General features: G+C 33.2%; 1 protein-coding gene, 1 long non-coding RNA gene and 1 other non-coding gene across 12 annotated transcripts in view, besides 1 other annotated feature; 2 read left to right on the top strand and 1 right to left on the bottom strand.

The window, feature by feature from the left end:
- ERBB4 (erb-b2 receptor tyrosine kinase 4) overlaps positions 1-14781 on the top strand; it is a 1163086-nt gene that overhangs the window by 104419 nt on the left and 1043886 nt on the right. The window lies entirely within an intron of this gene.
- Positions 3346-8893, bottom strand: LOC124906116 (uncharacterized). The gene is made up of 2 exons (XR_007088065.1): positions 8109-8893; positions 3346-8022 (listed from the first exon to the last, which is right to left on the bottom strand). It is a non-coding gene; the product is annotated as an uncharacterized LOC124906116 (long non-coding RNA).
- Positions 6859-7392: an enhancer, noted in NCBI's record as "NANOG hESC enhancer chr2:213291716-213292249 (GRCh37/hg19 assembly coordinates)". NCBI's record gives its function as "activates a minimal SCP1, AML or CMV promoter by ChIP-STARR-seq in naive H9 embryonic stem cells {active_cell/tissue: H9 hESC(naive)}" and the evidence as "EXISTENCE:reporter gene assay evidence [ECO:0000049][PMID:30033119]".
- Positions 8024-8121, top strand: MIR548F2 (microRNA 548f-2). Its single transcript, NR_031643.1, has one exon. It is a non-coding gene; the product is annotated as a microRNA 548f-2 (primary transcript).

Here is a 14781-nt window from a genome sequence, read left to right as displayed (position 1 = left end):
ACTTGTAGTATCCATAAGCACCATCTAGATACTTTAGGGAAAAATATTTTCACTTGACTGTATCTCTGGCTTTCTAGCAGCTCTGTAATTCAAACAGTGTCCAGTCATATGAAATCATATTTGTATTCATTCATTCTTGGGATTTCAGAATTTACTATATCCACTATGCTTTAACTGTTAGTGGTCTCTAAAACTCCAGAGGACACAATTTAGATTACATGGATGTGAATTTGCACTATTAAATTCTATTTTAGATTGGTTATTCTCTTGCTGACCCCTAAGGGGTAAAATGATCTGAAACATGCTTTTTAAAAGCATGTACAGGAACTGGAACATAAAGTCACATAATTGAGTCACCTTGCTTAATTTCCCTTTGTGAATTATTGGTTTCCTGAGAGGTAGTTTAACAGCTGAACAGAGGAAAATAATTCTCAAACTTAAAGTATCTCCTTGAGCATCCCTCTTCCATGTAATGACACTATTAGAGTGCATGACAAAAATCACTGGTAAACAAGGCTTTGAATTTGAATGCACACTGCCATGCGTAGAATATATTCATCACCTCAACATACAGAGAGTTCAATGTGTTTGATTTGTTATGTTGAAGATTATTGTGTCTTTCTGTTGATTTACTATAGAATTAAGATAGATGATATTTTCTAATGTTTCAAGATATTAATATATATATTTTACTACCAACGATGTGTATATAGTCATAGCTCTTCTAAGAAAGAACTTTTGCGAAGGACCTATTTTTTTCTTGGATCAGCTGTTCTTGTTGAGAACCTGGTATGCAAGTAAGGAATAAATGAGGCCTGAAAGTTGTATTAAAGGAACACCATTTGCAACTTTTTGTAATTTGGCAATTTTTAAATGTGAATATTTTTCGATCTATAAAAATACAGGTGATTGAATATGTTGGCCTTTTCAAAATCATATATAATTTTTGCAGGGGTGAGAAATTTGAAATTAACCAATGATTTCTGAATTTATTAAAGGAATATTTTAGTCTCAGTAGAAGAAAAAGTTCTACATGTAATAGGAAGGTAAAAAGAAAATTTTCTCTTCTTTTATACAGATTCCATGTGAATTCTCACACTTATAATTGATGTAAACTGAAACTTAAATAACAAAATCCATTGTAAAAATGTCAGTTAGTGGAAGTTTTTAGAAAATATTAATTATCCTATGAAGGCTACTCTATCTACAAATGAAGTATTTAGCTAAATGCAGTATAAAATTTCTAAAATATTGTGCTTTAAGAATGCATAATATGTAACTCTCTATACTGTAGTATCGGATTTGTATGTTATAAATAACTTTTCTACCACACCAAAGCTCTGGGACATATGAAGGGGTACATATAACCCTTCGATGTTACAAATGTAAGCACTAGATACCCCTTCATATATTCCAGAGCTTTGGTTATGTGGTAGAAAATACCATGTAACACTGTATCATCAGACTTCGAGATGATTCCAGAGTTTGTGGCTGCCATTACTATCCTCACCGACCATCTGAATAACTCAGGGAAGAGATGAGGCAAGTTAATTACATGAGTGATTCTTCAGTGAATGGGCAAACTAAAGGATTGTCTCTCAGAAGTCGTTCTTTAAAAGAGTTTTCACCTTTCACAACTTCTGTGGGTTATTAATGATGTTAAATGTGTTTCTTGAAAATAGAGCTTCATAATTTGCAATGATGATTTAAAAATCTAATTTGATCCTTATCAACTAATTTGCAGTGAGCTAATATAACTGCTAATTCCTGCTGTTGGTGATATTTAGACATATTGAAATCTAATTTTGCCTTAAAATTAGAAAATTTAAGGCTATATTTACAGAAGTCAAGTTACTTAACACTTAGCAGAATGCACCTCTGATCACATTATATATAGAGAGAGCACCCATTAAAGTTTTAGACATAAACTGATTCACAGTTGGCTGGAAAAGTTGTATAACACCATGATCCTAACTATTTACTATTTAATCATATTACAAGTAACTTAAAAGCAAATTGCAACCAGTAATATATTTCACAGAAACATAAAATTGCTGACTGTTTTTTAATATTACACTCTGGAAGAAAAGGCATTTACAATTATTGTCTAAAATGGCATTTGTAAATTATAAAATTCTGTTTATCTTTATTAACAAGCCTAAAAAAATTAGTATTTTATTATGACCATTGAAATTTTGATTCCACCTCCTTTCAGGAAAGGCCATCCCTCAAGGTGATAGCAACAGAGATAGACCAAAGAACAGACAACCTGGGTTACAAAATGACAGTGAGGTCCTGTTTTTCATTTGCCTTTTAATTGATTTCAATACATGCTCTAATCATTGGAAAACAATCATGGACAAAGTAGTGAAAAATCCTTGATTTGGTAGAGATTATATTTTCTTAAAAGTTGACAAAATAAGTAAAACATATGGAAGCCTAGACTATAAGTATTATGGAGAATAATAAATTAGGAAAGAGGACAATGAATGTTGGGAGATTATAGTTTCACGTAGGGTGCCCCATGGAGAGATTTACTGAAGAAGTGGCATTTGAGTAAAGATCTGAGGGAAGTGAAGATGCTGGTGAAAGCATGGTGCAGACTAATCAAACAGCAAGTATGAAGGCCCTGTGATGACAGTTCAAGGAAACAGTTAACACTATATGTTGATGGGATAAGAAAATGCAAGGGTCATGAGAGATGTCATCATAGAATAATAGGGGAAGGAAAGGTATGTAGTAGACTTTGGCTTTTATTCTCAGACATAGGAGAAGCCATTGAGGAATGCTAAGAAGTGGAGTGGCCTGATCTGATATACATTCAATGAGGATTACTCTTGCTCTTTGGTTAAGAATACTCTGAACAGAGTCAAAGGCAAATGCAATATTCCAAGTAAGAGATTGTGTTGACTTTATCCAGAGTAGAAGCAGTGGGGGTGGTGAGAAGCAATGAGATTCTGTATACGTTTTAAAGGGAGAGGGAGCCTGCAGGAATTACTGAGAGATATGATATGAAATTTCAAAGAAAACAAGAATAAAAATAGTTACGAAGGTTTTTTTTTTTTTTTTTTTTTTTTAATATGAGCAGTTGGAAGGATGGAGTTGCCATCAACTGAGATGAGATGAAGAAGACCATGAAAGGAGCTGTTTAGATGAGAATATAGACCAAGAGATCAGGAGTTCATGTGACATATGCTTATTATGCCACCTGCCATCCAAACAGAGAGGCTGAGTAGCATTCGTCCTCCTGGATATAGGAGCGTGAGGTTCTGGAGAGAGGTCTGTCAAAGAGGGAATCAGTGTCAATCAGTCTGAATAAAAAATTCAGAAAACATCAAGGATATGAGAAGAGATACAGGAGTAAGTCTATGTTTCCTTCTAAGGAAAAGCAGTGCAACCGCGTATTTATTATTTACATCAATGTGACCAGGTTTGGGGTCAGAAGGTCATTAAAACTCAGCACCACAATCTCAATCTTTGTCTCTGTCTCTCCTTGTCTTTGTGTCACTGTCTCTGTCTCTCCCTCTCACTCTCTCTTGCTTCCCCCATCCCCCATCTCCCACCTCATCTTTCCTCTTGCTTTCTCAACATGAGATTGAATACTTTTGGAAAATAACTCTGTACTCAATGACTTAGCTGTCTCATGCTAAACAAGATTGGTAATGGGATCTCAATATGTATACAACATAATATTCTTCGAATATAAAAACAGCATGCAGTTTGAGACCAGCCTGGCCAACATGGTGAAACCCCATCTCTACTAAAAATACAAAAAATTAGCTAGGTGTGGTGGTAGGCACCTGTAATCCCAGCTACTTGGGAGGCTGAGGCAGGAGAATCGCTTCAACCCAGGAGGTGGAGGCTGCAGTGAGCCAAGATCGCGCCACTGCACTCCAGCCTGGGCAACAAAGCGAGACTTCATTTAAAAGAAAAGAAAAAAAAAAAAACCAACATGCGAAGTAATTGCAACCTGCAAAGAGACATAACTGACTGTAGATAGAAAGCAATTTTTCATTTTATGGAATTTCTCTTTATTAACAGGTTTTATGTTTTAAAAATGTTCTTCTGGCTTAAATAAGATGTTTGATATAGACATGGTGTAGATTTTAATAATATGACTGCTAGTTATATTTTACTTACACATTTTTAACACGTGGTTTCTACTTAAATAAAGCACATCGTATGTATGTATATAAAACACAAGTATAAGAGGAAAAACAATTAATATTCAAAGCCAAGCTAAATAATAGACCTGAATCTAGTTCCTTTCATAAGCATTATTTATTTTCTTTACCAGTTGCATTTTAGGAAAGTGGATTATTTAATCTGTCCAACAACTATAATGTCTAAGTGGTTCTCTCATCTTCATTTCATTTTAAAGTAATGGTGCAATTCTGCATATGTATGAATCCCATTACTTCTGCCTCTCTTCCAACTTAATGTTTCAGTGTAGAAGGCAAACTATAACAGATATTAATTAAAAGAACCTATTAATTCAAATTATGAATAGTTTTAAGTATTTTCGCATTTTATTTTAATTACTTTCCACAGTTGGGAATCTTATCAGCATATTTATGTCAAATATAGGGAAGCATTATATGAGGTCATTAGGTGAACAGGCTCTGGGGTCAGACCTAGACAGGTTTGAATCTAACTGCCATGGTTTCATCATGTGTTCATCATGTGTTATTTAGGAAGATAATTACCTCTCTGTGCCTCAGTTTCTTATTTTGTCAAAAAAGAATAATAATAGGACCTACCTGAAAATACTGTAAGGGAGAAGAAAATTTATATAAAGTGCTTAGCATAATCCGTGGGCATAAGAACTTAGTAAATGTAGTAAATTTTGGTAACTGTCATATGAAATTTTAGAGGGGGATTCTTAGTTTTTGGTTTATGACAGCCTCCTCCTTTGATATACTCAGCTATCCACACTTGTATAATCCGTTGAAGACAGAAAGCTCCACTGTGTCCTCAGAAATCCTGGCTTTGTGTTCTGATTGTTGGAAGCTGGCCTGTGTGGATGATTATCAGTAGACTCCTGTGCTTTCTGGGTTTTGTTTAGGATTGTCCAATGACCCATTTGGAAAGCCCCAGCAGGGAATCAGAGAGAGAGAAAGGACAGTGAAACTAAGTATTTGTTCTCCTGGTTCCCTCTCTGTGAGATCTTCTTAATCTGTGTCTTTCAAGGGAAGGTCATTGCTGCTCTGAAGGAAGCTGCATTTGTAAGTTTCTCTTTGTTCTATAATCTCTCTCTTCCCTGCTTTAGTCTTGCTGGGCCTGGGGCTAATGCCAGCTCAAATAAACTGCTCTCATTCCTGCACTGTCCCTAGTAATTCCTTTACATTGCTCAAACTCTTAAAATTAATAACTTTTATATTAACATTCTTTAAATTATCCTAATTTGAATGTCTCATAAAGTAGTTGCTGGGAATCTGACTGATACACTGGGGTTCCACATAACCCCTCCCCTGAAGTCAGTTCATTTCCTGAGTGCTGCCTGGGAGTGCACTTGTATCCCTCTATCTGTTATGCCTACAGATGTCCCTTCCTTTCCCAGACTTAGTGAGTATGCACTTGTCTCTTCTCTTCTTGATAACAAATGCATGGGCTCAACCCAAAACCATCTACCTTTCCTCTAGCTTAAACTTCTCACTGGACTTAAGGTTTTATTTTACTTTATTTATTTAAATTTTATTTTATTGTGATAAGAACACAACATGAAATCTATTTTCTTACATTTTTAGTATACAATGTGGTATTATTAGCTATAGGTACAATGTTTTGCACCAGATCTGTAGACTTTCTTATTAATTTTTCTTTACTGAAACTTCATGCTCATTGATTAGCCATTTCCCATTTTCTCCTCTCCAGTCCTGGACAACTATCATTTCACCCTTTGGTTCTATGAATTTGACTTTTTCAGATTCCTCATATAATCTTTCTTCCTGGTTTAGGTTTCAAAAACAAAAGCCAAGAAGGAAGATTATCTCTGGAAAAACCAATGAGGCAAGGAAATATAATGGCCTAGCTATTTCCTTGGAATTAAAGAAAAACATAATATTTACAAAACATAAGCTGATAAGAAAGATGAATTAAAGCATTGTTCCAACCACTCTGTACATATAATTTAAGAAAAAATGTTGGTATAAGAAAAAGTATTTTCTACTGTTTAAATATTATTATCATTTCCTGTATATAAAATTCATGCCCAATTTGTATGTCATTCTTGAATCCATAGCTTAATAAAAATAACAACAAACCAAAATAAGGTTTCATAAGTGATTTGTCAGTTTTATTTATATATTTGCAAAATGGAGATAATTTATGTGAGATTGAGATCCTTTCTACTATGTACACCTTCAATATAAAGACATTATTATTCTTTCTCAGTTCTGTATTTCTGAAAGTCTGTCAAATACTTTAAAAAATGATCAGATCTATGCAAGTGAAGCTTGCAGAATTTGCATTTGCCCTCAATCCCTCTTCTTCCTCTAGCTTTTCATGTGTCTTGCCTTTGTTCCCATTTCACTAAGCAAGCATTGGCCTGCTGCTAATGCACTCACGTTTCCCCACAAGCTCTCACATTCCCTGGAATATTAAACGAAAAGAGAGCAACCAGGACAGGCAGACCAATTTCTTTCAGGTATACTGAATAAATTCCAGTAAGGCTCACAAATATTTCCTTTATTCTCTAACTACTCAAATTATTGCTAGTTTCTCTCCTTACAAGAAAATAAAATTTATTTGTAGGAAAAGGAAGTGAATTATATGACCAGTGATGCTATTTTATTTCATAATAGTGAATTTTTATTGTGTTTTTCCCATATGGCATAAAAACTATCTCATACAGTGCGAAACACTTACAAGCACTCTCACAATTATTTCCACTTCCAATGTGCAAATCACAGGGAACCCAAAATAAGTTTGAAGGTGCTGTAAGAATAGGTTCGAGGCAGAATATACAGTAGAGAAAGGGGATAACGTTTAAAACTAGCATAATGATTGGTGTGTCTTGGTTTTCTTAAGTCCAAGTACCAGGACTGACAATATGATAAACTGTCATCTCTACCTTAAACTCTCACCCTTGCCTTTCATTTGCAAATGAGCAAGCAAGTGGCCTGTTTTAAACACATGGACCATTAACTGCTTTCTTCTATTTGCATAGTAATGATAGTGAGCCAATGGTGATTTACTGCTCTGACTTGTATCATAAATAACAGATCATTTACGCTGCTAATTACACTCATTTCCATATCAATAATGCATTCTGGGTTGGGTTGGACTACTGCATTAGAAAATGGAATTGAATGACAAATTGATTTCCTACTAAAATGGTGTAAAACAGTTGTCTATGACAAGAAGATACTATTAAGTAATGTAGATAAGTGCAAAAGACATTTTTAAAACTTATCCTGTAGCTTGAATCATCAAAAGTATAGATTGGTCAGGAAAATATTTATCCCGTTTGCAAACACAAATGTGTAACATTTGATTATATCTATTGGTATCTGTCAGTACTACTTGGCTAGAGTATGGCTACCCCGAGCCCTCTGTCTCACATTTACTTTGTGGGTGGGCCAGTTAGCTTTTAGTTCTGCTATGTGATCCTAGACTGCACTCACAATCTGTAATGGTTATTTTTAAAATATAGGCTTTACTTCAAAAGGGGTGATTGTGTGAGAGTGTGGATAGGTGGTGGTACAAGCGCATCATTATTACTAAAGAAGCACTAAAGTTTAATATATGCCTTATAGATCAGTGATGTTAGATATAAACACGCAGGAACCTTGAGGAACTTTCATATTCACAATAAATATATTTATGGTGCATACAGGTGTATGTTTAGAGAAAGCCAAAGAGCAGTGGTAGAGATAAAGAGATTGAGGTTTTCTGAAAACTATTTAATAAAAATATCAGCTTCTCTATTTCAGCTGCAAGAAATTACTAAGACACTTGAAAATATACATTTAGAAGAAAATGTGTGACGAAAGAGATCTAATTTGTATAACCACCATCTTTCTAATAACTATTAGGTTGGTGCGAACATAATTGCAGTTTTTATCATTACTTTTAATGGCAAAAACTGTAATTACTTTTGCACCAACCTAATATTTTAGTGTGCATTTGGAAATAAATGCACGTAAAAAGTAACTAAATCAATTCAAAACTTATTCTCAGATTTGCTTGGAGCCTTCTATAAAGAGTGATATCACATTCAAACTTAAAAGTAGAGAACAATGACAAGTAATATATTTACAAAGTTGTTAGAGTCTAAAATAGATTATAAAGAAGTTCAGACATTGTAAAATGTGAAAGGAGATAAAGTCTCAGATTTGAATTTTTGATATAAGAAGACATTTCTGAAGATAAATGATTGAATACGTGAACATTGATTCAGAAGAAAAGTTTATGATTATAATTAAACCAAAAAGCTGCTAATTCTCATGATTAGGTGACTTATCCTGCATGTTAATAATTTGATTTTTAAGGCATTAGGTGGATAGGTACAACAAAATGAGGAATACAAAAACTTTTCTATCTCCCCAAATGTGGGTAAGAATGATGGATACCAACTAGCAAGAAAATGTTAGGAAAAAGAATGAAGCAAGGACAGTGATTTAAAAGATGTTGTTCATTGATAGATCACTTTATAAATAGTGAAGTGATAAAGATACATACAGTGTAACCAAGAAGGGAAGAGGGAGATGGAGGAATGATGAATTTGTTACCTGTAATTTTCCTAAGATCTGAAAAATGTGTCCTTCTAAATCAATATTATGTTTATACTATAACCAATATGACCAAATTGCAATTATGTTAAAATATGGATGTGTTTTATTTTGAGGAGACTTTTTGATATTATTGTTTTAAATAACCACTGCCTCCTTATTTTTGGAGAAATATACAATTACTTTGTAATAATATACTGATTATTGTATAAATATATAAGGATACATATGTGTGTATATACATATATATGTATACATATACATATATGTTCATATATATGTATACATATACATATATGTTCATATATATGTATCCTTATATATTTATCCAACACATATATATTATATATTATATGTAAAATATATATCTGTTATTTATTATATATCACACATGTTAAAGTTCTAAATAATTTTTTTAATGTGAGCAAATATTGTCAGACTAAAGTTTATTAAAATTTGATTTACTTTTACTTCAAAAGAGTTAATGAATTAGATCCATGATACTAAATTAAATTCTTGACTTTAGTATTACAAATATTTTATAATGACAGTTTTAAGAAAGCTTAGAAAAATCTGCTAGCATCTATAAAATGTCATATATAAAAGATAAATCTGATTAGTTGTGTTCATATTTCTGTGCAGTACTTTTTCTTCACGGATACATGGATAACATTAGGTATCACCTACACCATTATTTTTCTTTATGTATAACTAAAATGACATGGGTCATAGTCTCCAGTAGAAGACCACAATTAATAATTTGATCAATTGTCTTTGTGCTTATACTTTCATTTCTGAAGATAAGTAAAAGGCTTTTTCTTTGTTTATAGACATAAACTAAGTATTTGTGGATTTGTATATTTTTGGGTTTTCCAACTGTTCTCTTTCACAACATTCCCCTTCTACACCAAAAACAAACAAACAAACAAAAAAAGAAAACAAAAAAAAATTTGTTAATCCAGGGTAATCTAGTTTTATCTGATTACTATAGGTGAGCTATAGCTGTTATTAGAGGTCAATTCATTGCTCCAGTAAGACATCAACTTGATTTGTTTAGCAAAGTTTTAGTATATATACTATGTACTACTTGTCTGTAAAAATACGTGTTAGAAAATAGCAAGGCTCTCTTTTTTATATAGCCTTGAAAAGTTGTTCTCTTATAATTGGGAGAAAAAATAAGTGGGCTTTTATGTGCATAGATGGACTTTACCTGTTTCTTTTGGATATATGTGGATATATGTGCATGGGGAATAGCTTGAAGGGGAGTCAACAGGAATGGCACAGAATTTCACTCATTCTGTAGGCTCCCTAGTGGCAGGGAAAGTCCTACCATTGTAAGGTCCAGACACAGTACCAGACACAGAGTAGGTAGGCATTCAGTACATATTTATTTAATGACTCATCAGTCTGAAGTCTTGAAAGTAAAACAAAGATAGTCTCTTAGGTTCTAATAGCTAAGTAGGTAGTTGATTATAGGATGACTTGATGTATCCTATACATCAACTTTGTATTAGCCCCAAGGAGACTCAGACACCAAAATGAATTCTAAGATAAAATGCTAAACAACATCTAATAAGAAATAGCTTATATTAAGCCATTATTGCCAATGATTATGATTAATTAATAATTGTAGATTGTATTTTAGAATTTATTACTTTTAAAAGCTTATGATTAAACATAAAATTCCAAAAAGTTATTTAGGTTTTAATAATAAACTTTTGGGAATTTGGGAAAAAATACCTCATGTACAAAATCTGGGCCATAGGCACACTCTCCTGTAGCATTGGTTCAGTAATTCAAATCATAAAGTCAAGTGAGTGTCTACTCTCATCAGGTGAAAGTATACCTTAATGAAGGGTTCTGTTTGCATGGTGTATCACCTTCCTTAAATTTGAATATACAAACACAAAGCTATCAAGAGACAGCATCAAATGCACAGACTTCAATTAAAGAATTTTAGAAATAGATATGCATGCAGTATTACAATTATTTTTATTTTGATTATGCTATATGGGTAGCAATTAACATTTAATCATTTTCATATATATGTTTGTACACTAACCCAGAAGCTTTATACAGCAGACAACTTATATGTAGATAAAAATAAGGCACATGTGTGTCATACTTAGTTGCTGCTTTTCTACTTATAGTATGAACTGAAATGATCAATATGGCATTTTCTCCCTGAAGATGCATGTTATTTTGCCAATGGTTACCAACTCTTGACATTACTAGTTGAACCTCTATACATGGTCTTCTTTCAGCTCAAAGGTGACACCTCTTTTTTCTGTGATTCAGATAATCACTGTAGCTTTTGGCATCTTCTGCTGTCACTTTTTAGAAAGATAGTGGCTGTGTTACAAAGCTTTTCTTTGTGCTGTGTTTGGTGACTGTAACGTGTTTTCAGCCCATATGACTAATTGTTCCTCTATGTATGCTGATCATTCTGAATTTGCTTATAATTGCATTTTTTTTTGCCCCCTTCACTTACCTAAACCCTATATACTTAAGTGTCATAGATATGGTTATGTTACTAGCTTTACTCAGAGTATTTATTTACACAGATTACTTTACATTTTTCATCGTTTATCCTCTTACTCAAGTTATTATTTTGGTTTCTTCTAAAAATATGGAATATAGAATTCATATATTAAGAATAAAAAATTCTTTAAAGCTATTGTACTCTGTGGTATTTCACATAATATTAACCAGCTGTTAGCAATGACTGATATATACTTCCCATTGAAAATGATGTAAGGTCTGAAAGGATTCATTTTGACAATTTTATATCACATATTTATATTTACCTTAGGTGGTTCTTTTTAATGTTTTAATTTGGGACCACACTAATTTCTAACTTGGTAACTCATCTCTTACCAAAATTAATACCAAGCCAAGAAAAATGGTTTCATGAATAGAATCTACTAGTCTTTTATATCTTATAATGGTAGATCACTGATGAGGTAGAACTCCATAAGAGCTTCGCTCTCACAGTAAAAGGTTTTGGTTGTGCATGGATTACACCTGGTGAAAGTTGGTTAGTATTGTCTAAGTGGCTTAAGACAAATTTATTTTGATTTGTATTGTGATGACTTTGCGAAGCACCAGAATTTTTCCCGCTTCGTGTGTGTGTGTGTGTGTGTGTGTGTGTTTTGAGTCCAAGTCTCACACCGTTGCCCAGCCTGGAGTGCAGGGGCATGATCTCAGCTCGCTGCAACCTCTGCCTCCCGGGTTCAAGCAGTTCTCCTGCCATAACCTCCTGAGTAGCTGGGACTACAGGCATGTACCACCACTAATTTTTGTATTTTTAGTAGAGACAGGGTTTCAGCATGTTGGCCAGACTGGTCTCGAGCTACTGACCTCCAGTTATCCACCCGCCTTGGCCTCCCAAAGTGCTGCGATTAAAGCATGAACCACTGCTCCCAGGCTTCCCTGTTGTTTCTTAATCATGAATGCTTTTGTGACAATTCACCAGCATTCAGGAAATATTAAGGACAGATGATGTATTATCCCATTGAGCAATTAGAAATCTGCTATTTAGTCATATTACAAGATTCTAAATCTGGGATACTTTTCAATGGTGAATTATCACTGTGGACATCTTTAAAACTGCATGTTTCCCTTATGACACCACATCATCATATTTGCCTTCCCTGAAGTAATAACTCTTTTCTGCATGTTTGTTCGTTAGATATCTTCTTAATGCAAACTTTGAATTAGAGTTGTGTAGATAATATACTTTTCATTTGAAATTATTTAGACTTTTTCAACAGTATTCCTAAACACATTGATTCACTTTAGTGGTTGAATTTTTAATCTCTTTTGATTACACAGATGACTCCAATACATTATTATCCAGAGCTATGCAATCAGGTCAGAATTCTGTGTTTTCAAACAGAGAACCCTACAGAAAACCACACCATTTTTCATGTCTTCAAATTTTCCTAGTGTAGTGATGTGGATAGTTTTGACAATCTTCCATCTTCTTCCACTTAGTGGTTCTTAAAGACATTTTTGAAAAACACTAATTTTCAGTTGAACAGTGTAAGAAACCAGGCATGATGGAGAATTCCTCATTCTTACTGACAATATCCCAAAATGACAGCTCCCAAGGAAAGTGGTTTCTCATATACTATAATATGTTGAACATTTTGTACTACTTGTGACACTAGATATAGAAAACAAGACTAGATGACATAAGAAAAGTGTTAAGTCAATTGAAATTGTGGAATTGTTGGTTCAATATATGTATGCAGTTTATCAGCATGAAGAGCCTTTAGTCTGAAAACTGGCAGCTGTCAATGTGACCCTAAAAAGGGTTTCCAGAAGGAACAATGTGGAATACAAACCAATGAGTTTCAATTCATCTGATTGTAAGTAAGCAAAATCTCTAGAAAAGTGTAGAATGTCCAATTAAACAAATATAACCAGGCATAGGGAAGGCAATATTGTCTTCGTAAGGACCTTCTTAAAAATATATTGACCCATAATTTCCACTGAAATTCTTTGAAATATATCATCTTTTAAGATATGTGGTTGATGAATTATGTTTAGGCTTTAAAAAATTTTCATTTCTGACTATAGGAAATAAAAAACATCACCACAAACTGGAGACAAATGTGTCCAATTATATGGCATATTTATAACTTCTAGAAAACAAGTGTCAGTCCAGAGTAAAATCTCCAAGTTTGCAGAAACCAAAAGATTCCTAAAAACAAAAACATTATCAATACAATTATTGCTTTCATCTAGCCATTCTTTCAGTAAACATTTATTGACCCAAGCACTGTGATGTGTGCTGAGAATAAAACATCCTCTGTCCTCATAATGCTCTTCATTTGTCTGGAAAGACAGCCATTGAGCAAGAAATGATAAGTTTGATGCATGTCATGAAGGATGTCTGAATGTTACCTTGCAAAATTCTTTATAACGCCTGAGGATGGTTTATTAGGAAGGCTAGAGCAGGACCTCAGAATAGTGAGAGTGTTCCTTTGAGTCAGATGCAGAAAGAAACTTCTATAAGAGGATATGGTTACAACGAACAAGCAAAAACCTTTTCTGAAAAGACAAAAGCCTGTGTGCTTATGATTCAAACTTTTGATTTTTTGATTTGGAAAACTTGGGCAGATCCCATTCTTTCATAATTAAAATACATGCATGACTTTGAAGAGGTAAGTATAATAACTGACCAAATAAGGCAGACATTATGGTTTCAAAATAATTCAAATAAATGAATCTGACCTACAGAAAAACATTTTTAAATGTATGTGACCTAAGATTTCAATTTTATTTGTATGGCGGGGCCATTCCTGAGCATAACTGTGGGCTGGCTATAGCATATCATTTCTTATATGCCTAACATTAGTCTCCTAAATGGAAAATAAATCGTGCAGTCTTGAATTTACTTCTTGGAACAGTTTTCAGAAATATATTAATGTATAAGAAGACATAATTGGCTGTACTTTTGGTGAATATTGTATATAACATTGCTGAAATTTGGATTTAGGAATGAATGCTATAAAATGAAAATACATATCACAATGATCTATTTATGTATTAAAGAAAGGCATGAATGTGTCATATTCTCAGCACCTTTTATGAAAGCTTAGCAGATGTTTCAGTTTTCATAATGTATGCAGTAACATAGTTTTTATAACTTTGCACTTAGAATGAATTCATTTTAGTATAGCACAAGATATTTAAGAAATACATTGAGGAAAATAGTGTAAACAAGTAGAGATTATATTTTAAAGTAGAAAATATCATCTACCAGAGCTGATAGCAGTGTTTCAATGCAAGAAGGTTTAAAGAATCTCAGACATAAAAAATATTTTGGATACTATTAACTATTGAATAGGACGTTAATTCAGTTCTATGTATGGATTGATTGCCTAATATATTCAGATGTCTTAAACATAAAATATATAAAAGCCAATGAAATACATTTCATTCCTCACAACAGTAGGTCCTCAAAATGATTATTAAATGAAATATTGTAAAAATAATAAGTGAATCAATTAAATTACTACATTAATGACATTGAACTCTT

Source organism: Homo sapiens, chromosome 2 (assembly GCF_000001405.40).
Source record: "Homo sapiens chromosome 2, GRCh38.p14 Primary Assembly".
Classification (NCBI taxonomy): domain Eukaryota; kingdom Metazoa; phylum Chordata; class Mammalia; order Primates; family Hominidae; genus Homo; species Homo sapiens.
The sequence above is the reverse complement of the archived record's forward strand: the minus strand, read 5'-3'. Positions and strand labels throughout refer to the sequence as shown.